Source organism: Homo sapiens, chromosome 12 (genome assembly GCF_000001405.40).
Source record: "Homo sapiens chromosome 12, GRCh38.p14 Primary Assembly".
NCBI lineage: Eukaryota > Metazoa > Chordata > Mammalia > Primates > Hominidae > Homo > Homo sapiens.
Genome location: NC_000012.12, coordinates 1,660,680 through 1,685,545, shown reverse-complemented (window position 1 = coordinate 1,685,545; position 24,866 = coordinate 1,660,680). Strand labels below are relative to the sequence as shown.

Below are 24,866 nucleotides of genomic sequence, written 5' to 3'. Positions count from 1 at the left end.
GGCCTTTCTTATATTTTCTTTTGTGATGTGTCTGTTCAAACTTTTTACCTATTTTTTAAAATGGGCTGTTTTCCCTCTTATTATTGAGCCATAAGTGTTCTTTTTTTTTTTTTTTTTTTTGAGACAGAGTCTCACTTTTTCACCCAAGCTGGAGTGCAGTGGTGCAATCTCTCCTCACCGCAACCTCCGCTTCCTGGGTTCAAGCAATTCTTATACCTCAGCCTCCCAAATAGCTGGAATCGCAGGTGTGTGCCACCACACCAGGCTAATTTTTGTATTTTTAGTAGAGACAGGGTTTCACCATGTTGACCATGCTGGTCTCGAACTTCTGACCTCAAGCGATCTGCCTGCCTCGGCCTCCCAAAGTGCTTGGATTACAGACGTGAGTCACCATGCCTGGCCATCAGTGTTCTTTATATATCTTTAGATACAAGTATTTTGCCAAAGTAAAAGGCAAGCAAAAAATTCTTTTAAGAATGCCAGGATTACATAATATTTCAAAGTTATAAAGGGTTGTTTCCATTTAATCTCTCCTTTGCTGTGAGAATGAAAATAGAAACACAAAGTTTTCATTACCTTAAAAATAGAGAGTAATAAAGATGCGTATTAGAAGCTACAACTACGGAACAACAGGAAATACAGGTGAAAACAATAAAGAAAAATGTCATTTCTTAAGTAATTTAGAAGCACCCAGTAATTAAAAATCTGTCATCTTTTTATTAAGAAAAAATTCAAGACAGCATCTGTTCTACTCAGTGACTGCTTATGCGCTCACCCACACACACAGAACTGTAAGCCAAAAAAAGAGCATTTTATTTGTTGTGCTAAAATTTTAAATCCATAATCTAAAGAGGTTTATTAACCTTGCAATATCTCAATGATGTATAGCTAAACTCAGAACTCAGGACCAGGTTTAGTCAGGATAGTTTGATATAAATACTTTCATCAAGTTATACAGGATGAATCCCTGAGCCCTTGAGGTCACAATCTGGTGAAGTGACAATTTGCAGAAATAAGTTGCAAGGACTGGCAGGCATTTACGGTGGAGGAAGAAGAACTGATCTGGAATTGAATTCCAATGATTGTGACTAAATAATCACTGAGGTAGGGGTTGAGATTGTTCTCATAACTTTGTTTCTCAAAATTTTTTTTTCCTTTTCTTTTGGTTTAGATTAGAAGCAAAAGCAAAACTGGGTAGGAAAAGCAGGCTATAGCAAAAATAAAATTCTTAATGAAAAATCCAGACTATCAAAAGTCTTACTCCTTCCCCTCAAACTTTCTCTAATAATCTCATATGCCTTGGATGTCGTCAGCCAAGTCTAGCCACACCTGAGGTATTGCGGGCAGGCCCAAGACAAGCGTAAAACAAAAGAGGATAGGGGAGAAAGAGGAAAACAGAAAAAGAGTAAAAGAGCTCAAAGAAATGCTGCTAGAGATGCAACATAAGTGCTGTCAGTTGCCCATCTAGGAAAGCAAGCCGAACACTTTTAAAAGAGAATTGGGGCCAGGCACAGTGGCTCACTTTGAGAGGCAGAGGCGGGCGGATCACTTAAGGTCAGGAGTTTGAGACCAGCCTGGCCAACATGTCGAAACCCTGTCTCTAATAAAAATACAAAAATTAGCCAAGCATGGTGGCACACACCTATAATCCCAGCTACTCCGTGGCTGAGGCACAAGAATTGCTTGAAACCAGGAGGCTAAGGCTGCAGTGAGTTGAGTTCCCACCACTGTACTCCAGCCTGGGCAACAGAACCAGACTCTGTCTCAGAAAAAAGAAAAGAAAAGAAAAGATAATTGGCCAGGCATGGTGGCTCACACCTGTCATTCCAGCACTTTGGAAGGCCAAGGCAGGAGGATCACTTGAGCCCAGGAGTTCAAGACCAGCCTGGGCAGCATAGTGAGACTCCATCTCTACAGAAATTAAAATAAAAAGCCAGGCATGGTGGCTGGCACACACCTGTAGTCCCAGCTACTCAGGAGGCTGAGGTGGGAGGATCACTTGAGCCCAGAAGATCGATACTACATTGAGCTATGATCATGCCACTGCACTCCAGCCTGGGTGACAGAGGGTGACTCTGTCTCTTAAAAAAAAAAATGAGCCAGGCGCAGTGGCTCATGCATGTAATCCCAGCACTTTGGGAGGCCAAGGTGGACAGATCACAAGATCAGGAGATGAAGACCATCCTGGCCAACATGGTGAAACCTTGTCTCTACTAAACAATACAAAAAATTAGCCAGGCATGGTGGTGCACCTGTAGTCCCAGCTACTCCGGAGGCTGAGGCAGGGGAATTGCTTGAACCTGGGAGGCAGAAGTTGCAGTCAGCCGAGATTGCGCCATTGCTCTCTAGCCTGGGCAACAGAGCGAGACTCCATCTCAAAAACAAACAAACAACAAACAAACAAAAACCCAACATTGCTCTTCCTTCTTCCCAAGCAAATGAAGAAAATAGGTGTGAGATTCTCAAAAGTCAACATCTAGAGAGCTTATTAAGAATGTTAATTCCAGCTGGGCACGGTGGCTCACACCTGTAATCCCAGCACTTTGGGAGGCTGAGGCAGGAGGATCACTTGAGTCCAGGAGTTCGAGACCAGCCTGAGCAACATAGTGAGACCCTTTTAAAAATAACCAGTGTGAGCACACCTGTAGTCCCAGCTACTTGGAAGGCTGAGGTTGGAGGTTTGCTTGAGCCCAGGAGATTGAGGCTGCAGTGAGCCATGATCAAGCCACTGCACTCCAGCCTGAGCAACAGAGCAAGATCCTGTATTTAAAAAAAAAAAAAAAAAAAAAAAAAAGGCAATTCCCAGATATTATCCCAGAGATTCTGGTAGGCCCCAAAAGTCAGATTTTTTTTTTCCAGTCAGATTCCAAAGATTCTGATTCGTGGGCTCCATGCAGGCCTGGCTTCCTAGGTGGATGACCTATGCAGTTAGTTGCTCGGGGCCCTGTACTCGAAAGTGCCCTATGCTTGGGTTTTGTTTTTTGTGTTTTTTTTTTGAGACCACATTTCGCTCTTCTTGCCCAGGCTGTCATGCAATGGTGCGATCTCACCTCACTGCAACCTCTGCCTCTGAGGTTCAAGCGATTCTCCTGCCTCAGCCTCCCAAGTAGCTGGTATTACAAGTATGCACCACCACACCCAGCTAATTTTTTGTATTCTTAGTAGAGATGGGGTTTCACCATGTTGGCCAGGCTGGTCTTGAACTCCTGACCTCAGGTGATCTGCCCACCTCGGCCTCCCAAAGTGCTGGGATTACAGGCATGAGCCACCGCGCCTGGCCCCTATTCTTGGTTTGATGCTCTGTTGTTACTGTCTTGAAATTTTTAATAACTTTTGAATAAGAGACCCTTCATTTTCCCTTTGCACTGGGCACTGCAATTTATGTACTGCAATGGGAGTTAGACCTTAGACTTCAGTCTTTTACTGCGGAAAATATTCAGACAATTACCTACATATCTATTGGATTTTAAGCCTGATACACAGCATCTGAATTAATTCAATTTATACAATTTCTACTTGGCACTTTGGAATCAGGGGATCCTTGAATGAGCTTTTTCCAGAGGGAGAGCCCAGACAGAGAAGTACCTGTTGTTACAGGAAGCAAATTCCTGGGGGCAGTGGCTTCAGGAACTGGCAGTTATTTGTGCAAGGAAGGGATAAAGAAAAAAAGTAGAGACCCCAAAAATAATACATGAAAAAAACATCATTCTCAGGCATTTGAGGAGAGGCAAAATTGACCCAACAAAGGTGATCAGATAGCCCTGAAACTCAATTATCTGAAAACTTTGGTCATTAAAAGCTAGAAAAAGTCAAAGACCTTTGGAATAAATTCTAAGCTGATTTACTTTGCCTAACCCTTTCAGCTGGGGAGGTCAGTAGGTGGAGATGGAGATACAGGACATGTCTCTTAAGACTGCCAGAGTGTTTTGTGGCAGAACTAGGAGAGACGAGCTTTAGGTCAGCTAATAAAAGTTCCCATTTCCCCACTTGCTGTCTATCATGGTAGAGCATCAACAACACACATTCCATGGGGAAAAAACAAACCGTGGCAAACAGCCAGTTCCATCCAAGGCTAAAAAATAGAATCAGAATATATTTCAGCTAAATCTAAAAAACAAATTGCTCTTGCCACTGTGCTTCAACTGGAATATATTCCTCTCAGTGGTTGAGTCAGACTGTCGAACCTTCAGAGCCTGGCTGGCCATAAACTAGAACAGGAAGGGAAGGGCGGTATCAGCTTTTCCTAGAATGACCAGCTGGGTAACATTTATTGTGGCCGTCCATTGTCATGCTCCTTTTTTTTTTTTTAATCTTTTATTCCTAAGTAACTTTGGCTGTTGTTACTCACTCTTAAGTGGCTTCAGGAAGGCAGAAGTCATCATGGTTTTCACCATCATTACCATCAATGCCATACCCATGTAATTATTATAATAACAATAGCTGATATATGTATAGAATATTTACTATGTGCTGAGCATTTTTTGAGTAATTTATATACGTTAACTCATGTAATCCTCACCACAACGCCATGACATAAATACTATTGTTATCGCCATTTTACAGATGAGGAAACTGAGGCACAGGGGGTTAAATGACTTGTTTAAGGTCACACAGCTATTACATAGCAGAGCCAGGATTCAAATACAGGGAGTGTGACTGTAATGCCCAAGCACATAGTCACTAGTCTACGTAACAAAGGCCACTATTCTGGAAGCTGAATGAAGCAAGGCAAACAGTTGCTCTGAACCTTTTTTGGGTTATAGGCTCCTTTGAGCATCTATACCCTCAGAAAAATAACTATATACACCAAATATTTACAGATTCACAGAGGACTGCCCCTGCTCCTCCGAGACCATACATTTACATTTATGACTTTATTCCTGGTTAAGAATGCCTACTACAGCCACTAGTTGTTTAAAATTGTAAAACAACTACCAAAGACAAAAAGATCTTTAAGTCTAATGATGAGGCCGGGCAAGGTGGCTCATGCCTGTAATCCCAACACTTTGGGAAGACGAGGTGGGAAGATTGCCTGAACCTAGGAGTTCAGTACCAGCCTGGGCAAATGGTAAGGCCCTTGTCTCTACAAAAAAAAATTTTTTTTAACTAGCCAGGTGTAGTGGTGCATACCTGTAGTCCGACCTACTCAGGAGGCTGAAGTGGGAGCATTGCTTGAGCCCAGGAGTTCCAGGCTTCAGTCAGCTATGATTGCACCACTGCACTCCAGTCTGGCCAACAGAAAAAGACCCTGTCTCTAAAATAAAATTTGAAAATTTAAATCTAATAACTCTGTGAAGTGTGGACTCAGGGCACTAATAACCCTGTAAGCCCTACATAGTACCATGTCATCAAAATCCAAGAACTGACTTTTTTTGAGACGGAGTCTTACTCTGTCGCCCAGGCTAGAGTGCAGTGGCACAATTCCAGCTCACTGCAACCTCCGCCTCCCCCGTTCAAGCAATTCTCCTGCCTCAGCCTCCCGAGTAGCTGGGATTACAGGCGTGCACCACCATGCCCAGCTAATTTTGCATTTTTAGTAGAGACAGGGTTTCACCATGTTAGCCAGGCTAATCTCGAACTCTCGACCTCAGGTGATCCACCCACCTTGGCCTCCCAAAGTGCTGGGATTACAGGAGTGAGTCACCGCGCCCGGCCAGAACTGACTATTTTAAAAAAAACAAACTTTAAAGATTTTTATCAACTGCCAAATTATTTCAAAATTGAAGAATAAACCACTATAACTTCCAGCATATAACACAGTGCCTGGCCCACACTGAGTGCTCAATAATTGTTAATAGAAGGAAGGAAAGGGGAAAAAGGGAGCCAAGTGTATCTGAATGCTTTTTATTAGTACGCTCAATGTAATTTCAATATATCATTCAAGTTTTAAATATATATGTAATAAATTATATATAACATATATAATAAATTATATATAACATATACAATAACTCCATTTCTTCACAATCACATTTTGATTACCCATCCTCAGAATCAAGCAATTCAAGTTCTTCTCCAAATAACTTCTTGGCTTCATAGTGCTATTGCTTTCCATTCAGCAATTAAACGCTAAAAAAAAATTAAATCTCTAGAAAGCTGATGCTCATTTACATTTAGCTAATTGACAAGTTATGATACAATCCACAACAATTTGGGAAAGGGGAATTCACATACAGGATATATATGAAAACGACCTTGGAACATACTAGAGCAATGGGAAAACAAATGCAAACCAAGTTATCTGGGTTGTCACCATGCTAACTAGATATAAAACCCAGGCTGGGTGCGGTGGCTCATGCCTATAATCCCAGCACTTTGGGAGGCCAAGGCAGGCAGATCACAAGGTAAGGAGTTTGAGACCAGCCTGACCACCATGGTGAAACCCGGTCTCTACTAAAAATACAAAAAGTAGCTGGGCGAGGTGGTGCATGCCTGTAATCCCAGTTACTCAGGAGGCTGAGGCAGGAGAATTGTTTCAACCCGGGAGGCGGAGGTTGCGGTGAGCCGAGATGGCGCCACTGCACTCCAGCCTGGGCAACAGACCAAGACTCTGTCTCAAAAAAAAAAAAAAAAAAAAAAAGATATATAACCCAATAGAAATAGGTGATGATTAAATTGTCCTGCTAAGAAATTTGAAGATTGAAAGTCCAGAGCAATGATTTTAGAAGATCTTATTAAGGGTAGAAGCAAATAACGGGAGACCACTTAAAACTCTTTGAGCTGATGCTAAAAACGGTTGTTTATACTCTGTAGAGCTACAGATCTATCTGTTTTACTCTACTTTCTCTATTTTAATACTGTTTTTCAAATTGCACTGACGCATGCTTTTTCAAGTCTGGGTTCAGATCAAAGGAGGGCTCTGGATGGCTCCATAGGCCAATTAGCCGACATTTTATAAACAGCATGTGACTTCATTAGAAGACACCAGCAAGTCTCTAAGAGTTCATAATGCTATTCCGCTGGGAAGTGACTTACTCTAGAGAATGCTGTCATATGTCTGTATTGGCATCTCCTCTTGTCCCCAATTTGGTTAATAACTACAATTATGCTTTGGTCATTTCAACAGCTCTGAGCCTTTGTCAGACCTTATCCCTATTCTGTGCCTTCATGCCTCCCTGGACTACTCCAATATGTTCCTAATTGGTCTCCCTGTCGTCAATCTCAACATCCTCCAATCCACTCCATCTACTGCTGCCAAGACCCACTTTCAAAATGAGTTAAGTTCAAAAACTTTCAAAAGCTCTCAAAGTCCGAATTCCTTTAAGCTGAAATCCAAGGCTCTCCACAATCTGGCCCTAACTTAATATTTCAGAAATTCACTCACATTATTATTACATGTACCACGTACCAAGCTCCTGCCAAACCAACTATTTACCATTCCCAAAATATATTCTTCACTTTCTGCCTCTCTCTCCTTCCTTGGAAATCCTTTGCTTCCTACTAGCCTATTACGAAGTCCTTCCTCACACAGCAACTAAAATGGGCTCTTTTTTTTTTTTGAGAGAGAGTCTCGCTCTGTTGCCCATGCTGGAGTGCAGTGGCACGACTGAAATGGGCTCTCTGTCTGCAATTTTACTCATCCTATTAAATGTTAATTAATAATTTTTATGGTATGTGTATTTTACCATAATAAAAAATGGCTTAATGAAAACATAGAGTTAATTAATAGATCTCAAGTTTAACAAATGGGCAGACCAGATAATCTGAAAATTATCCTGCTACAAACACCTACAACTGCTGAGTAAACTCAATAAGGCTTCTTTTAAATACAAAGCCAGGGCCGGGCGGGGTGGTGCACACCTGTAATCCCAGCACTTTGGGAGGCCAAGGCGGGCAGATCACGAGGTCAGGAGTTTAAGACTAGCCTGGCCAACATGGTGAAACCCCATCTCTACTAAAAATACAAAAATTAGCCAGGTGTGGTGGTGGGCACCTGTAATCCCAGCTACTTGGGAGGCTGAGGCAAGAGAAACGCTTGAACCCGGGAGCGGGGGGTTGCAGTGAGCCGAGATCGCACCACTGCACTCCAGCCTGGGCGACAGAGTGAGACTCCATCTCAGGGGGAAAAAAAAGCCAGGTTGGGTGCAGTAGCTCCTGCCTGTAATCCCAGCACACTTTGGGAGCCCAAGGCAGGAGGATCACTTGAAGCCAGGAGTTCGAGACCAACCTAGACAACATAGCAAGACCCCCATCTCTACAAAACAAGCATGGTGGCATGTACCCGTAGGCCTAGCTCCTTGGGAGACTTAGGTGGGAGGATCTCTTGAACCCAGTAGCTTGAGGTTGCAGTGAGCTATGGATATGCCACTACACTCCAGCCTGGGTGACAGAATGAGATTCTGTCTCCAAAAACTAAAATAAATACAAAGCTGAACACTCAAGAAAGAAAGTTAAATAACTAGGTGCCTGAAACACAAAGGGAACCAAGACCACTACAGTACCTGTGAATTCAAGCTTCATTTGCTCTAGAAGGTAGGGGACAAGGGGAAAAAAAAAAACCTTCCCTGAGGAATTAATAACCATGAGCCTGTGCCTTATGTGAGCTTAAGGTTTACTTTTAGAACAATATGATAGAGGATATACGATAAAGTTAGTATTTTTAATGTGTATGTGTATTTTTACACATTTAAAATGTGTAAAAGAAGAAATGCAAGAATAAACAAGAGTGAATGAAATAAGAACAGGTAGAAATGCAAAACAATCAAACTTCCAGAAATTATAAATAAAACTTAGTGAATAAGTTAAACGGCAGATTCGACACAGCCAAATCAGCTGGTTGAATTTACCCAGAAGACAGCATAAAATGAGAAACAGAAAATAGAGATTTGGCGGCCGGGTGCCGTGGCTCACGCCTGTAATCCCAGCACTTTGGGAGGCCGAGCCGGGTGGATATTTTAGGTCAGGAGTTTGAGACCAGCCTGGCCAATATGGTGAAACCCCATCTCTACTAAAAATACAAAAATCAGCCAGGCGTGGTGGTACACACCTGTAGTCCCAGCTACTCGGGAGGCTGAGGCAGAAGAATTGCTTGAACCTGGGAGGCAGAGGTTGCAGTGAGCCAAGATCACGCCACTGCACTCCAGCCTGGGTGACAGAGCAAGACTCTGTCTAGGGAAAAAAAAAAGAGAGAGAGATTTGGAAGCAAGGAGGATAATATGTCTACTGTAACACTCATAGGTAATCCAGAAGGAGAAAAGGGAGAGAACGGAGGATCATAAATATTCAAGAGATCATCACTGATAATTTCCCAGAATTAAAAAAAAATTCCGAGAATTGATGAAAGATATGAATCCTCAGACTCAGAAATCATGACAAGTGCCAAACCAATAAACAAGAAGAAATTTACACCTAGACGTATCATGGTGAAATTGCAGGCACCACAGACAAAAATCTTAGAAGCTACCAGAGACAGAAGACAAAAGAACTACAATTAAATCCAACAATAAAGGCCCAAAGATAATGGAATAGTATTTTCAAAGTATTGAGAAAAAAACAAAAACATTATCAATCTAGAATTCTATATTCATAGAAGTTCTCACTCAAGAGTGCAAACAAAATAAAGATGTTTTCAATAAAATAAAGACATTTTCAATAAAACAAAGACCAGGAGAGTTTAACATTCGGTTCCTCTCTGAAAAAAAAAAAACAAAAAAAACAGCTAAAGTGTATACTTGCAGAAGAAGAAAACTGAACCCAGAAGGAAAGAACAATGGTAATAATTCTCACCTACTTTGGGTGGAAATGTAAATTTGTATACCCACTTTGGAGCAAGGTTTGGATTACCAGGTATAGTTGAATACGTGCATATCCTAAGACCCCAGAATTCCACTGCTAGGCATAGAACCTCCTGTATGAGGGACATAAGGAAATATGTAACAACATCATGATTTATTATAGCAAAAGCCTGGAAATAACCCAAATAAATAAATAAGGTGCTATTGATTTATTTATTTTATTTTATTTTTATTTTTATTTTTTGAGACAGAGTCTTGCTGTGTCGCCCAGGCTGGTGGAGTGTGGTGGTGTGATGTCGGCTCACTGCAACCTCCACCTTCTGGGTTCACGCTATTCTCCTGCCTCAGCCTCCCAAGTAGCTGGGACTACAGGTGCCCACCACCATGCCCAGCTAATTTTTTGTATTTTTAGTAGAGACAGGGTTTCACATGTTAGCCAGGATGGTCTCAATCTCCTGACGTCATGATCCGTCCGCCTCGGCCTCCTAAAGTGCTGGGATTACAGGCCTGAGCCACCATGCCGGCCTATTTATTTATTTTTTGACACGGAGTCTTGCTTTGTCACTCAGGCTGGAGTGTGGTGATGTGATCTTGGCTCACTGCAGCCTCCGCCCCCGCCCCGGGTTCAAACAATTCTCCTGCCTCAGCCTCCCGAGTAGCTGGGATTACAGGCATGTGCCACCACGCCTGGCTAATTTTGTATTTTTAGTATAGGCGGGGTTTTAGCATGTTGGTCAGGTTGGTGGCGAACTCCTGACCTCAGGTGATCCACCTGCCTCTGCTTGGCCACAGTTTGTTATTTTTTTAAAAGCAAAGAAATGATGGAGGGATCCAGGCGCGGTGGCTCACGCCTGTAATCCCAGCACTTTGGGAGACCGAGGCAGGTGGATCACCTGAGATAAGGAGTTCAAGACCAGCCTGGCCAAATGGCGAAACCCCGATTCTACTAAAAATACAAAAATTAGCCGGGTGTGCTGGTGTGAGCCTGTAGTCCCAGCTACTCAGGAGGCTGAGGTGGGAGAATTGCTTGAACCTGGGAAGCAGAGGTTGCAGTGAGCCGAGATCACGCCCCTGCACTCCAGCCTGGGTGACAGAGTGAGACTCTGTCTCAAAAAAACAGAAATGATGGAGAAGTTCATCATGGAGTGGCATGCAGGTGGCTTCTGAGGTATGGTAATGTTCCTTTGGGTACATTTTATTGCTATTCTCTAAACTGTGCTTTTTTTTCTTGCCATTCATTCATTAAATATTAAGAGCTTACTCTAGGTCAGGCCTGTGCTAGGTGTTGGAGATACAACAATGACCAAGTTAGACAACGTGCTAGTTCTCATAGAGGACATTGTAGTGAGGAGTTTGGTGTGAATTAAAGATTCATGAATTCCAACTACTTTTTTTTTTTGCAGAAATAGACAAAGTGATCCTGAAACTCACATGGAAAAGCAAGGACCCAGAATAACCAAAACAATCTTGAAAAAGAAGATAAAAGTTAGAGGGCTCACACTTCCCAATTTCAAAACTTACTTTAAAGCTACACTAATGAAGACAGTGTGGTAGTGACATAAAAATAAACATGTATATTTCAATGCAACAGAATGGAGAGTCCAGATGTAAGCTGATACATCCATGGTCAATCTCTGACAAGAGTGGCAAGACCGTTCAGTGGGGAAAGGTCAGTCTTTTCAACAAATGGTGCTTGGACAACAGATATACATATGCAAAATAGTGAATTTAGACCCCCTAAATTCACACCTTCACACTATATACAAAAATAAACTCAAATGATCAAAGACCTAAATGTAAGAGCAAAAACTATAAAAATTCTTAGAAGAAAATATAGGGGTAAATATTTGTGATATTGGAATAGGCAATCATTTCTTAGGTATAATATCTAAAATGCAAGCAACCAAGGATAATTAGATAAATTAGGTTTCACCAAAAGTAAAGGCTGTTATGTATCAAGAAAGCGAAAAAACAACCCAAAATGGGAGAAAATATTTACAAATCATGTATTTAATAAGGGTTTTATATCTAGAATATATAAAGAGCTCCTATACCTCAACAATAAAAAGATAAATAACTCGGCTGGGTGTGGTGGCTCACACCTGTAATCCCATTACTTTGGGAGGCTGAGGAGGGCGGGTCACAGGTCAGGAGTTCAAGACCAGCCTGGCCAACATGGTGAAACCCCATCTCTACAAAAATATAAAAATTAGCCAGGCATACTGGCAGGCACCTGCAGTCTCAGCTACTTGGGAGGCTGAGGCAGGAGAATCACTTGAACCTGGGAGGCAGAGGTTGCAGTGAGCTGAGATTGTACCACTGCACTCCAGCCTGGAAGACAGACTGAGACTCTGTCTCAAAATAAATAAATAAATAAATAAATAACTCAATCTAAAAATGGGCAAAAGATTTGAATAGACTTTTCTTCAAAGAAGATCTATAAGAGGGCATGAAAAATGTCCAATATCATTAGTCATTAGGGAAATGAAAGTCAAAATCACAACAAGATACCACTTCACAGCTGGGCACAGTGGCTCACGCCTGTAATCCTAGCACTTTGGGAGGCCGAGGCAGGCAAATCACTTGAGGTCAGGAGTTCAAGACCAGCTTGGCCAACATGGTGAAACCCCGTCTCTACTAAAAATACAAAAATTAGCCAGGCGTTGGGGCAGGCGCCTGTAATCCCAGCTACTCAGGAGGCTGAGGCAGGAGAATCGCTTGAACCTGGGAGGTAGAGGTTGCTGTGAGCTGAGACTGTGCCACTGCACTCCAGCCTGGGCGACAGAGTGAGACCCCATCTCAAAAAAAAAAAGAAAAAAAAAAGGCAAATTATATGGGATGTAAATTTTATCTTAGTAAAAAACAAAATAACAGAAACAACACAAAAGATTAATGATATCTCACCCTGTCAAAGCAGGAAGGGATCTTAAATGATTGTCTAGTCAAACTGCATTATTTTAGAGAGAAAGAAACCAAGGTGCAGAGGAAGGAAGTGACTTATAAAAAGTGACACAGCTCGGGCCTGGCGCGGTGGCTCACACCTGTAATCCCAGCACTTTGGGAGGCCAAGGCGGGCAGATCAGTTGAGGTCAAGAGATGGAGACTATCCTGGACAACATGGTGAAACCCTTTCTCTACTAAAAATACAAAAATCAGCTGGGCGTGGTGGTGCACACCTGTAATCCCAGCTACTCCGGAGGCTGAGGCAGGAGAATCACTTGAACCCGGGAGGCGGAGGTTGCAGTGAGCTGAGATCACGCCATTACACTCCAGCCTGGGTGACAGAGCAAGACTCCATCTCAAAAAAAAAAAAAAAAGTGACACAACTCGTCAGCTGCAGGGTGAACATTGAGCCCCAGGACCTTTTACTTTTTTCTATATCCTTTAACATGTAAAATTTCAAACACATACAAAATTTCAAACACAAACACATACAAAAATGTCAAACACATACAAAAATAGAGCTAGCTCCCTGTATCTATACTCCAGCTTTAATAGTTATTAGTACACAGCTTTTTTTTGTTTTTTTTTTTTGAGACGGAGTCTCGCTGTGTCCCCCAGGTTGGAGTGCAGTGGCGCGATCTCAGCTCACTGCAAGCTCCACCTTCCAGGTTCACGCCATTCTCCTGCCTCAGCCTCCCGAGTAGCTGGGACTACAGGCGCCCGCCAACACGCCCGGCTAATTTTTTGTATTTTTAGTAGAAACGGCGTTTCACCGTGTTAGCCAAGATGGTCTCGATCTCCTGACCTCGTGATACGTCCGTCTCGGCCTCCCAAAGTGCTAGGATTACAGGCGTGAACCACCGCACCCGGCCCACAGCTTTAATAATTATTAAATAAGTATCAGTACACAAATTCAATTTTTCTTTTTTTTTCTTTTTAGACTGGGTCTTGCTCTGTCGCCCAGGCTGGAGTGCAGTGCACAGACTTGGCCCACTGCAACCTCCGCCCCCAGGGCTGAAGCAATCCTCCCACCTCAGCCTCCCAAGTAGCTGGGATTACAGGCCCACACCACCACGTTCAGCTAATTTTTGTAGTTTTAGTAGAGACAGGGTTTTGCCATGTTGCCCAGGCTGGTCTCCAGCTCCTGGGCTCAAACAGTCCACCTGCCTCAGCCTCCCAGAGTACTGGGATTACAGGTGTGAACCACTGCACCCAGCCACAACTTTAATAATTATTAAATAATTATTAGTACACAACCAATTTTATTTTATCTCCACCGTCACTCACTTTCTCCCCTCCCAGATTATTCTGAGATGTATCTCAGACATCATAGTATTCATCCACCAATACTGCGATATGTGCATAGTTTTTCATTTATTTTTCATGTATGATCTGTTTCTCATACACATACACATGCACACAAAAGAAAAAAAAAAGAGTGATCCCTCCAAAAAATGGAAAGCAATGGTGAGCAAAGAAACTAATAAAGCTTTAAATAAATCTAAACATGCATTCGCTGTATAACTGTATGTTACATTGATGATGGATATGTAAAGATATGAAGTATCACTGCAAAATAGCATGTTAGATAGGGTGGTGGTGTATGAAGTACTAAGTTCCTTGAGCAAGACTCCATCTCAAAAAAAAAAAAAAGTCAGGGTGTGGCAACAGTGTAATTGCTGGTGGCCTGACCATTTATGGCAGGATCTCAGCAGGTATGCAGAGCTACTATTCCGTGGGGAGGGAGTTGATGACAGCTAGTCAAGGTATGACAACTACATTCTAGAAGCTTAGAAAAGTTCCTGCTTTGGTAAGACTTGTTGATGGCACCTGAGCCACAGCAGTGGGGCTTAGGCTGAAGTTTCTGATCCCTGTTGTGGACCTGGGCAAGGGCCTGGTGGTGATGGGGAGCTTGCTTGGTATATGTCCAGCCTTAAAAGCTAGAAAAAGCAACGGCGGGAGCAGTGATGTCTGTGAAGCTGTATTGATAAAGTTGTTTTTTTTTAAAGGTGTAAAAGTAAACACATCTGAATCTCAGGGAAAAGCTACGCTACTTCAACTTCAGGATTCAGTCATTCCTGCTTGTTCAGAACCACAGGGTAAAATGAGCACTGCACTTACAAAGGGCTAATCACAAGCGAGGGCACTGTGGCGACCTTTCACCAGGTGTCAAGGTGTGGCGGCCTCTGTAGACCCATGACTCAGAACACCAGGCCAGGCACCATCTGGGAACACATCTGCGACTTCATATGAAAAAAAGGTGTAATTTAGTTGAAGCAATTAACTTAAAGTTGGTGAGTAAAGCCTTTTCGAATGAGCTGTGAGTGAGTGAGGGGGAGAGGATGCCCGAGGGGCAGTGTGGGGTTGCCTGCAGTGGAAGCGAGGCTGGCACTCTGCTACTGAGTGCCCAGGGAGAAGGAGGGGAGGACGCAGGCCAAGAACCTTTGGCCCCCAAGCAAGGCCTCCAAGGAAAACCAAAGGGCCGAGCTCGAGCTCCCCTTTCCTCCTGGTTTATTCTCTTTCCCTCAGGAGCCTGCCGGACTCCACCCTCAAATTCTCAGCCTGAGAAAGTAATATGATATTGGCACTCACCTCTCCAAATTCTTCCAGAAAGAGAGTCAGATTAGAGTGTGACAGGAGCACAGTACGCTTCTGGTCTGAGCTTTTGGAGGCCATATGACTCTAGAATGAGCCCGCCTGGTTTTTGTGAATGAGTCTAACTAAAATGAGTCCTCTTATTTTTTCACCAGAAAAAAACAAGATGTGTCAAGGGGCTCTTTGGGCTGTGAAAGGGCTGTATCCCAGCAACAGCTCATGATGTTTCTGACAACTTATTAGCATCTATTTGAGGGTGATTAAAAACATAATGTGGGGCCGATTGCGGTGGCTCACGCCTGTAATCCCAGCACTTTGGGAGGCCGACACGGGTGGATCATGAGGTCAGGAGTTTGAGACCAGCCTGGCCAATATAGTGAAACCCTGTCTCTACTAAAAATACAAAAAAAATAGCCTGGCATGGTGGCAGGTGCCTGTAGTCCCAGCTGATCAGGAGGCTGAGGCAGGAGAATCGCTTGAGCCCAGGAGGTGGAGGTTGCAGTGAGCCAAGATCACACCATTACACTCCTGCCTGGGTGACAGAGCGAGACTATCTCAAAAACAAAAAAAAACGAAAAAGCCATAATGTGTAAAGGATTCAAATTGTACTCAATTATTATAATAGCCTACTTCTCCCCATTCCCATTCCTCCTCCCTAAACCAGAGCTCCTGTTTGCCAGGCAAATAAGCTACAACTAAAATAAAAGGTCTTTTTAGACAAGGATCAAGCCAGATTAGGAATATTATAACTAGGCTTTCCAATCAATATCAGGACTTTCCATTTCTCTATCTGAGTCTGAAACTAATTACACTTCCAGGTCGTGGGGCCCCAGGTGCTGCTCTCGTGGCACCACTCGTGGGGCTCTAGGTCCAGAGGACAGTCTCTGCTGGCTGAGGCTGGAGGGACCATCTCATTGGTAGAAGTGGCATAGCATGACTTGGCCACTGGACATCTTGGCTGTCACCCAGACTTATTTCAAAGGCGAGACTAAAATAAAGAGGGCTGATCAGAGTGGGGGCAATCAGAGATTGGGCCATCGCTAGAGTTACAAAAGCAGCGCTGGCTACTGTAGGGCAGCAGCGTCATCTCCTCGAGATAGGACTCCCTCTGCCCCAGTTCTGTTCACCGTCCAAAGACCAGGGCCCTCCCTGAAGCCCAGCACTTGAGAAATGCTCGCTCTCACGTATTATGACTCTGGCTTTGGAAAGAAATTCAGCAAGGGTACTGGTTGAAAGGTCAAAAAGTGGTGAAATGCCATCTGCCCAAACGGAAGCAAGGGGTCGCTTGGATTGGGTAAAGGTTTCTTTTGTGGTTTTAAGCCGTTGGGTTGTTTTTCGTTTGTTTTTGTTTTGTTAGAAAGCACTGTGTCTGTCTGGAGGTCGAAGGGTCGGGTGGGTGTCTGCAGTGCGGCTTTTCTCCCTTGGCCAGTGGGGAAACAAAGTGGGTTTACTGGCCATTTCCGCTTTGTGTGAAGGAAACCTGAGATTCACTGCCTCCAGCACATGGGAGTTGTCTGTTATTTTTAGTTTAGTTCTGTTGTTGTTATTAGGTGTTTTTAAAACATATGTAAGTGTGTATCAAAGTTGTATTTCACAGTGTTGGCAGAAAATTTACAGGAAAAAGACAGAGGAGGGTTTAGTTGAAGATCAGGAGGAGGTAGTAAGACTGGTTAAATGTCTAGTGAAAGGTTTTAGGCATACCAGGATTGTCAGTCAACTGGGAGGGTAACTCTTTTATTTTTAAAATTGTGGTAAAATATGTATAAAATAACATATACTATTTTAACGATTTTTAAGTAGGCCTGGGCACAGTGGCTGACACCTGTAATCCCAAGCTTTGGGAGGCTGAGATGGGAGGATCATTGGAGGCCAGGAGTTTGAAACCAGCTTGGCCAACATAGCAACTTCATCTCTAAAAAAATAAAAATAAAAATAAAAGGTTTTTTTTTTTTTAATTATCTGGGCATCGTGGCACACTGGGCAAGTAGTTCCAGCTCCTTGGGAGGCCGAGGCAGGAAGATCACTTGAGCCTAGGAGTTCAATGCTATAGTGAGCTCTGATCACACCGCTGCCCTCCAGCCTGTGTGACAGAGCAAGAACCTGTCTCTAAAAAAATAACAATTTTAAAATGCTCAAGTGAACAGTTCTGTGCCATTAAGTGCACTCACATTTTTGTGCCACCATCACCACCATTCATCTACAGAAACTTTCTTTCTTTCCCAACTGAAACTCTGTCCCCATTGAACACTAACGCCCCATCCTGCCCTGCCAGCCACTGGTGGCCACCGTTCTGCTGTCTCTGAATTTGACTATTCGTAGTACCTCATATGAGTGGAATCGTAGAGAGAGTAGTCGTCCTTTGTGACTAGCTCATTTCCCTTAGCGCAACGCCTTCAAAGTTTATTCACGTGGGTAATTCGTTCTTTACGGTTTGTTTTTCATCGTTTGGACCCTCAGTTTTTGTTTCTTGTTGAGGATTTGGTAGTCTCAGATACTGAGGATAGGATTGCAGGCTGAAAGTCTGGCCAGGAGGCTTCCTGATCCTTCTCCTCACCCTAAAATATCTTGGCCACACTGGATATATATTTTTTTCTTTTTGAGATGGAACCTCCCTCTGTTGCCCAGGCTGGAGTGCACTGGCGCAATCATGGCTCACTGCGGCCTCAACCTCCCAGGCTCAAGTGATCTTCCTGCCTCACCCTCCCAAGTATCTGGGACTACAGGCATGCACCACCATATCTGGCTAATTTTTTTTTTACTTCTTGGGAGAGATGGGGGTCTCACTTTGTTGCCCAGCCTGGTCGTGAGCTCCTGGCCTCAAGCGATGCTCCCTCCTCAACCTCCCAAAGTGCTGGGAGTACAGGCATGAGCCACCACGCCTGGCCCACACTGGACATTTCTTAGTGTTTTTTCCTGCCTGGGTCACTACCTACTTGGTGTGTTAATAGCTCTCAAGGCTCTTAGCTTGGCCCACATTGCTTGCTCCTCTGGGCAAACCATGAATATTTCCAAAGCAGACCAGCCTCTCAGGGGACTCTCTGTCTCTGTCTGTCTCTCTCTGCCTCTGTCTCTGTCCGTCTCTGTCTCTCTCTCTCCCTGTTTCCATCTCTGTGTGTCTCTGTCTCTCTGTGTGTGTGTGTCTCCATCTCTGTCTCTGTCTCTCTCTGCCTTTCTCTCCTCCCTCCTCTCAGCATCAGTATTTACCCACTGGCCTCAGGCAAAGGCTTCAGAGAAGGGAAAGCAGCCTTTTCTTTCCCCTTCCCGTCCTCTCAGGCACAGGAGGCATGCCTTCTGTTTGCTTGTTTTTATAATCATTCTTTGTAAGCAGAACATTCAAATGGCAAAATATATAAGCAGTAAGAACGTGCAATGAAAAACCAGTCTCCCCACCCACTTCCTTGTTGCCTTTTGCCACACCAGCCACTGTGACCTTGACTGTCTTTCTAGGGACATTTACACATAAACAAGCTCAGGGGGCCTCTTTTTACACAAAAGATATCATCTTATACCCACCCCCCTGTATCATGCTTTTTGGAAAAAATACATAAAAATAAGAGTGTAATAAATGAAGTCTCCACCAACCAGAATTGATAAAAAACATTTAGTATAGCTGTTTTTTTTCTTTTTTTACATAAAAATAAGTAAAATGCTACAGATGAAGTCTGAAATATTCTGTGGCCTTTGTGGTCAGTCCTGCATCCTTCCTCCCATCCTTAGAGGGGAGCGCTACTGGAAATTATTTACACCCTTTCTGTAATTTTTTATATGTCATATACATACATATATACATCTGTGAACAATATATAGCATCATTTTGCACAATAATCATTTTTAATATCCCTTCCCCCTACTGGCAGGCATTCAGGTTCTTTTAGACTTTGCTCCTCAAATAATGCCGCAGGAAATTTCTTGTGCCGATATCTTTGTGCACATGCGTGAGTGTATCTGTAGGATAATTTTGTAGAGGCGGGCTTACTGGATCAAAAGATATGTGCATTTGATAGTTTCAAAGAAAGGGCACCAATTTTTACTTCCACCAATAATGCATGGAACACCTATTTCTTCACATCTTCTTTCACATACAAATTTATCAAAATTTTTAATTTTTATTCATCTAATACATAAAAAATACCTCTTATACTTTGAATTTATGTATTGGAAACCATGTATTGGTAATGTATTAGAAATATAATAGAATTATTTCTTTTATTATAAGTGAGGGTAAGCACCTTCTCATGTGTTTGAAAGCCAGGCAGGCCGGGGGTGGTGGCTCATGCCTGTAATCCCAGCACTTTGGGAGGCCGAGGTGGGTGGATCATCTGAGGTCGGGAGTTCGAGACCAGCCTGACCAACATGGAGAAACCCCGTCTCTACTAAAAATACAAGATTAGCCAGGCGTCGTGGCACATGTCTGTAATCCCAGCTACTTGGGAGGCTGAGGCAGGAGAATCACTTGAACCTGGGAGGCGGAGGTTGCAGTGAGCTGAGATCATGCCATTGCACTCCAGCCTGGGCAACAAGAGCAAAAACTCTGTCTCGAAAAAAAAAAAAGAAAGCCAGATATATTTCTTCTTCTGCGGTTTTTTAAGGTCTTTTGCCCATTTTTCTTTGGGGCTGATTATCTTATTCACTCTTAAGTGTACTTTGCATGTGAAGAAAATTAACTGTCATATGTGTTGCAAATATTTTCCCAGTTAATTACTTATGACTCAGCTATTTTTGCCACATGGAAATTTTTAATTTTTATGAAGTCAATTTTATCAATACTAATGTTTTTAAGTGGTGATACATTTACTGTTTTCTTCTAATTTTCTTCATTTCTCCCCTACTTCCCATTTCTAACTCAAATCATACCTCAGATTCCTGGGTCTAGGGTGAGATCAACAGCTGGAAGCCACCACAGAGTTAATCCAGGTGAACCCTGGAGGTTCAACATAACCCCGAAGGCTCCAGGGGCCCTTGACTTAACTTTGCCCTACTGTATATTTATAGGGTATCCTAAATCTGCCCTAACCACTGACACTTCCTGGAGTTCTTTCAGTCTGAAGAAACTTCTGGTTCCAATTTGGTCTCCTTAAAGACCTCTGCCCCAGGCAGGTCTGCATCCTTGGAGGCACCATGGCAGGGCTGGCACAGGGAAGCTGGGACCTTAGTGACCTACTGCTGCTTTTTCATTCTTTTCACTCCCTGTGGAGCCGGGTTTCTTACTGGCAGAGAAGGGAAAGGGAGAAAACAAGAATGCACTCATGCTGTCGGCCTGGACTTGGAGATTATCAGTGTGGACTCATGCATTCCAATACACAAAGATGGAGAGAGAGGTACAGGTGTAAAAGTGTGTGTAATATTTTGAATCTACTTTTGTGTGTTCTTAATTTTTATTATTTCATTCATTTATTTTTGAAACAGGGTCTTGCTCCGTTACCCAGACTGGAGTACGGTGGTGAGATCATAGCTCACTGCAGCCTCGACCTCCCGGGCTCAAGTGATCCTCCCACCTCAGCCTCCTGAGTAGCTGAGACCACAGGTGCGCACCACCACGCCCAGCTAATTTTTCTATGTTTTTTAGAGACACGTTTACACCATGTTGCCCAGGCTGGTCTCAAATTCCTGGGCTCAAGCGATCCTCCTGCCTCAGCCTCCCAAAGTGCTAGGATTACAGGCAAGAGCCACTGCGCCCGGCCTTGTGTGTCTTTAAATGTTTTTTGTTGTTGCTGTTTGTTTGTTTTTTGAGACAGAGTCTCCCACTGTCACCCAGGCTGGAGTGCAATGGCATGGTCTCGACTCACTGCAAACTCCGCCTCCCGGGTCAAGAGATTCTCCTGCCTCAGCCTCCCAAGTAGCTGGGATTACAGGTGCCCACCACCACGCCTGGATAATTTTTGTATTTTTAGTAGAGATGGGGTTTCACCATGTTGACCAGCCTGGTCTCGAACTGCTGACCTCGTGACCCACCTGCCTTGGCCTCCGGAAGTGCTGGGATTACAGGCGTGAGCCACTGTGCCCAGCCTTTAAATGTTTTACATGTACATCCTTGTCATCGTTTTCATTTAATTACTCTCCTCTAGTTTGTAAGGGCAGGGCCATAGTGGGCCAGTCCCAAGGCCATGGTGGGCCAGTCCCAGCCATTCTTTCCCCTTCTCTCTACCCGAACACAAATGTCTGCACAGAACACCATCATTCAGCCATTGGGGATTAAAAATTAAGATCGAGGAAAAAGCAAAAGAAAACAAGATCATTATTTGTCATTGAGGACTGGGTGGGCATTCCCTCATTCTTCTTGCCTTCCATGGTCCATCTCAGCAGCTTGACATTCTGCACCTTCTATTAGCTCGTGGCCCGGCTGCATCCTCCCTACAGACGTTTTACCCCTAAGCAGCCTCCTTCCTTCCTTCCTCCCTTCCTTTCCCCCTTCCTTCCCTCCTGTTTTCCTCCTTCCTTCCTTCCCTCCTTCCCTCCTGTTTTCCTCCTTCCCTCCTTTCCCTCCTTCCCTCCTGTTTTCCTCCTTCCTTCCTTCCCTCCTTCCCTCCATCCTTCCTTTCTTCCTTCCTTCCCTTCCTCCTTTCTTCCTTTTTTATCTTTCTCCTTTCCTTTCTTCCTCCTTTAATTCCCTCCTTCCTTCCTTCATCAAATGTTTGCTGCACTGCTAACAGAGTCCATGCTGTGCTTGGTGCGGACAATTCTGTAGCGAACAGTGCGACAGATAACTGGTGCTGCCTTCAGCAAGCCTACAATCTAGCAGGCAGCCTGCAGTGAATCGGCCACTACATAACTCAGCACCCTCTTCCAGAGGCCATCTCTCTCTCCAGTGGCCCCAACTGTAGCCGCTCTCGAGCCTCCGCCATCAAACTGTGTCCTTAAGAAAATCATTGTTTTCTCCCCACCAGAGGAGAGAGCCGCTAAGTGCTCTGACCCCCTTGCTTCCAGCACGTTCATACGAATTGGGATTTGGTGGCCTCACACGCATAGGCTCACGATCCTCACAGGGGACAGGGAAGACGCCACGATCTGCATTTTACCGACAGGAGGCGCAGGAACTTGCCGGAGATCGCAGAGCAGGTTCGTGCCCAGGTGGTGGGAAGCGACTCTCAGGCTGGGAGAGACACTGAAGGCCGCCCCGTCCAGCCAGTTGTTTTCCCCGGGGCTCCTGCTTCTGGACGGCCTTCCCAGACAGGAGGGCAGGCTGGGGCGGCCCTGCCTCCCAAGGGCCGCGCTGAGTGCCCAGTGCACCCCTTCACTCCGCACTCTGCCCCAGCGGACCCCCGGCTGCCTCATGTTCGCGGGCAGGTGCGCTGCGGGGCGGGGCACGGAAGAGCGGGCAGCCCCTCCCGGTTAGAGGCCCTCCTCCCGGCCAGGGCCTGGGCGATGCGCGATAAGAAAGGCAGGGTCCCCGTCCTTGCAGCTGGTGGGTGAGGGGCTAACCGAGCTTCAGGAAGCGCTGCTTGTGCCCTGAGGGAATCTCGCGGAGGGCGAGCGGAGCACACACCGAGTCCTCTCTCCCGACAGCGGACCTCTCAGGAGGGAGGCGGGAAGTGAGGAGGGGGAGGCGGGAAGTGAGGAGGGGGAGGCGGGAAGTGGGGAGGGGGAGGCGGGAAGTGAGGAGGGGGAGGCGGGAAGTGAGGAGGGGGAGGCGGGAAGTGAGGAGGGGGAGGCGGGAAGTGGGGAGGAGGAGGCGGGAAGTGAGGGGGAGGCGGGAAGTGGGGAGGGGGAGGCGGGAAGTGAGGGGGGAGGCGGGAAGTGGGGAGGGGGAGGCGGGAAGTGGGGAGGGGGAGGCGGGAAGTGGGGAGGGGGAGGCGGGAAGTGAGGAGGGGGAGGCGGGAAGTGAGGAGGGGGAGGCGGGAAGTGGGGAGGGGGAGGCGGGAAGTGGGGAGGGGGAGGCGGGAAGTGAGGGGGGAGGCGGGAAGTGGGGAGGGGGAGGCGGGAAGTGAGGGGGGAGGCGGGAAGTGGGGAGGGGGAGGCGAAGGGGCGGCGGAACCTCCGGAGGCGCAGCTCAGGCAGAGCAGGCCGCGGCCACAGAGGGCTGGGGCTGGGGGCGACAGGAAGTCCGGGAGGGGAGAGGAAGACAGCGGTGGGGCCGCGAGGCCGGGAATCAGGAATCTGGGCAGGGGCAAATTGGCCCAAGTCTGCAGTGTTCTTTAGCCAGCTCTGCAGTGGGAGAAAACAGGAGAGGGCTGGACAGCGGGCGGTGCAGCGGGGGAAGGGCGAGAGGATGCACGTGTGACTCGCTCTGCGCCCGCGGAGGTGCCCGTCCGCTGGCATGGCCCGCGGGGTGGGGAGTCGCTGCATACGGCCCCTGAAGGCAGCTCCCGGCGAGGGAGGCGGAGCCATTTCCCGAGGGCGGAGCTGCGGCCCCGCCCCCCGCCTCCCGCCGCCTCCCGCCTCCCCCCGCCCCCCGCCCCCCGCCGCCTCCCGCCTCCTCCCTGCCCCGCTCCGAGTCCGCCGCGAGGCCTTCGAGGGGAGAGGGAACTCGAGGCTGCTGCTGGGGCGGGGTTGGGGTGACTGGCAGTGGGAGAGCCAGGCAGGGGAGGGGCGAAGAGGAAGTCAGGGAGGGCACATAGCTCCGGGAGGGCCGTGCTGAGGCGGAGGGCGCAGCAAGGGTGGGGGTCGCAGTGGGCTGCAGGGGGATCGCTGAGCACGGAGGCTTCAGGTCCCGAAGGAGCGGTGGCGCGGTGACAGGGGCCCGGGCGCGGCTCAGCTCGCTGGCGGATGAGGGGCTGGGAGGAAGACGTCCATGCGCCCCGAACCTCAGTGCTTTGCAGAAGGGCCCCAGGGTGGGCGGAGGACAGGGACCAAAATGCAGAGAGGATGGTCCGGCTGGAGAGACGGGTGGGCGGAGGACAGGGACCAAAATGCAGAGAGGATGGTCCGGCTGGAGAGACGGGTGGGCGGAGGACAGGGACCAAAATGCAGAGAGGATGGTCCGGCTGGAGAGACGGGTGGGCGGAGGACAGGGACCAAAATGCAGAGAGGATGGTCCGGCTGGAGAGACGGGTGGGCGGAGGACAGGGACCAAAATGCAGAGAGGATGGTCCGGCTGGAGAGACGGGTGGGCGGAGGACAGGGACCAAAATGCAGAGAGGATGGTCCGGCTGGAGAGACGGGTGGGCGGAGGACAGGGACCAAAATGCAGAGAGGATGGTCCGGCTGGAGAGACGGGTGGGCGGAGGACAGGGACCAAAATGCAGAGAGGATGGTCCGGCTGGAGAGACGGGTGGGCGGAGGGCTGCAACAGTGGGGTGTGAAGACCCTGAGAGCAGCACCTCCCGCCCGCATGGGGCTGCCAGGAGGCGAAGAGCCTTTACCCAGAGGGTTTTCAACTGAATGACACTGTCAAAGAAAAGCCAGGATCCACTAAGGCAAGAAGTATTAAAAGTATTTTAGGGAAAGTCATTTAAAGCTCTATAACATTGTATTTTCATGGAATCTTCTAGATTCTTCCCCTAGAATCAGAGTTAGATTTTCCATTAAGTGAATGAAGCTCAAGTTTCAGGGCCTCTCCCTCGCCTTCTAAGGCCCTGTTCATAATTCCGTATTTGTAATTATTTAAACTGCCCCACCCTGATTATATAACTTTTAGGTCCCACAAAAGCTTAGCCA

At 46.1% G+C, this 24,866-nt stretch overlaps 3 annotated features.

Moving 5' to 3' along the window:
• Positions 16,383 to 16,432: an enhancer, noted in NCBI's record as "active region_5809". NCBI's record gives its function as "activates an Ori minimal core promoter by ATAC-STARR-seq in GM12878 lymphoblastoid cells {active_cell/tissue: GM12878}" and the evidence as "EXISTENCE:reporter gene assay evidence [ECO:0000049][PMID:35858748]".
• Positions 23,393 to 23,482: a silencer, noted in NCBI's record as "silent region_4119". NCBI's record gives its function as "represses an Ori minimal core promoter by ATAC-STARR-seq in GM12878 lymphoblastoid cells {active_cell/tissue: GM12878}" and the evidence as "EXISTENCE:reporter gene assay evidence [ECO:0000049][PMID:35858748]".
• Positions 23,573 to 23,672: a silencer, noted in NCBI's record as "silent region_4118". NCBI's record gives its function as "represses an Ori minimal core promoter by ATAC-STARR-seq in GM12878 lymphoblastoid cells {active_cell/tissue: GM12878}" and the evidence as "EXISTENCE:reporter gene assay evidence [ECO:0000049][PMID:35858748]".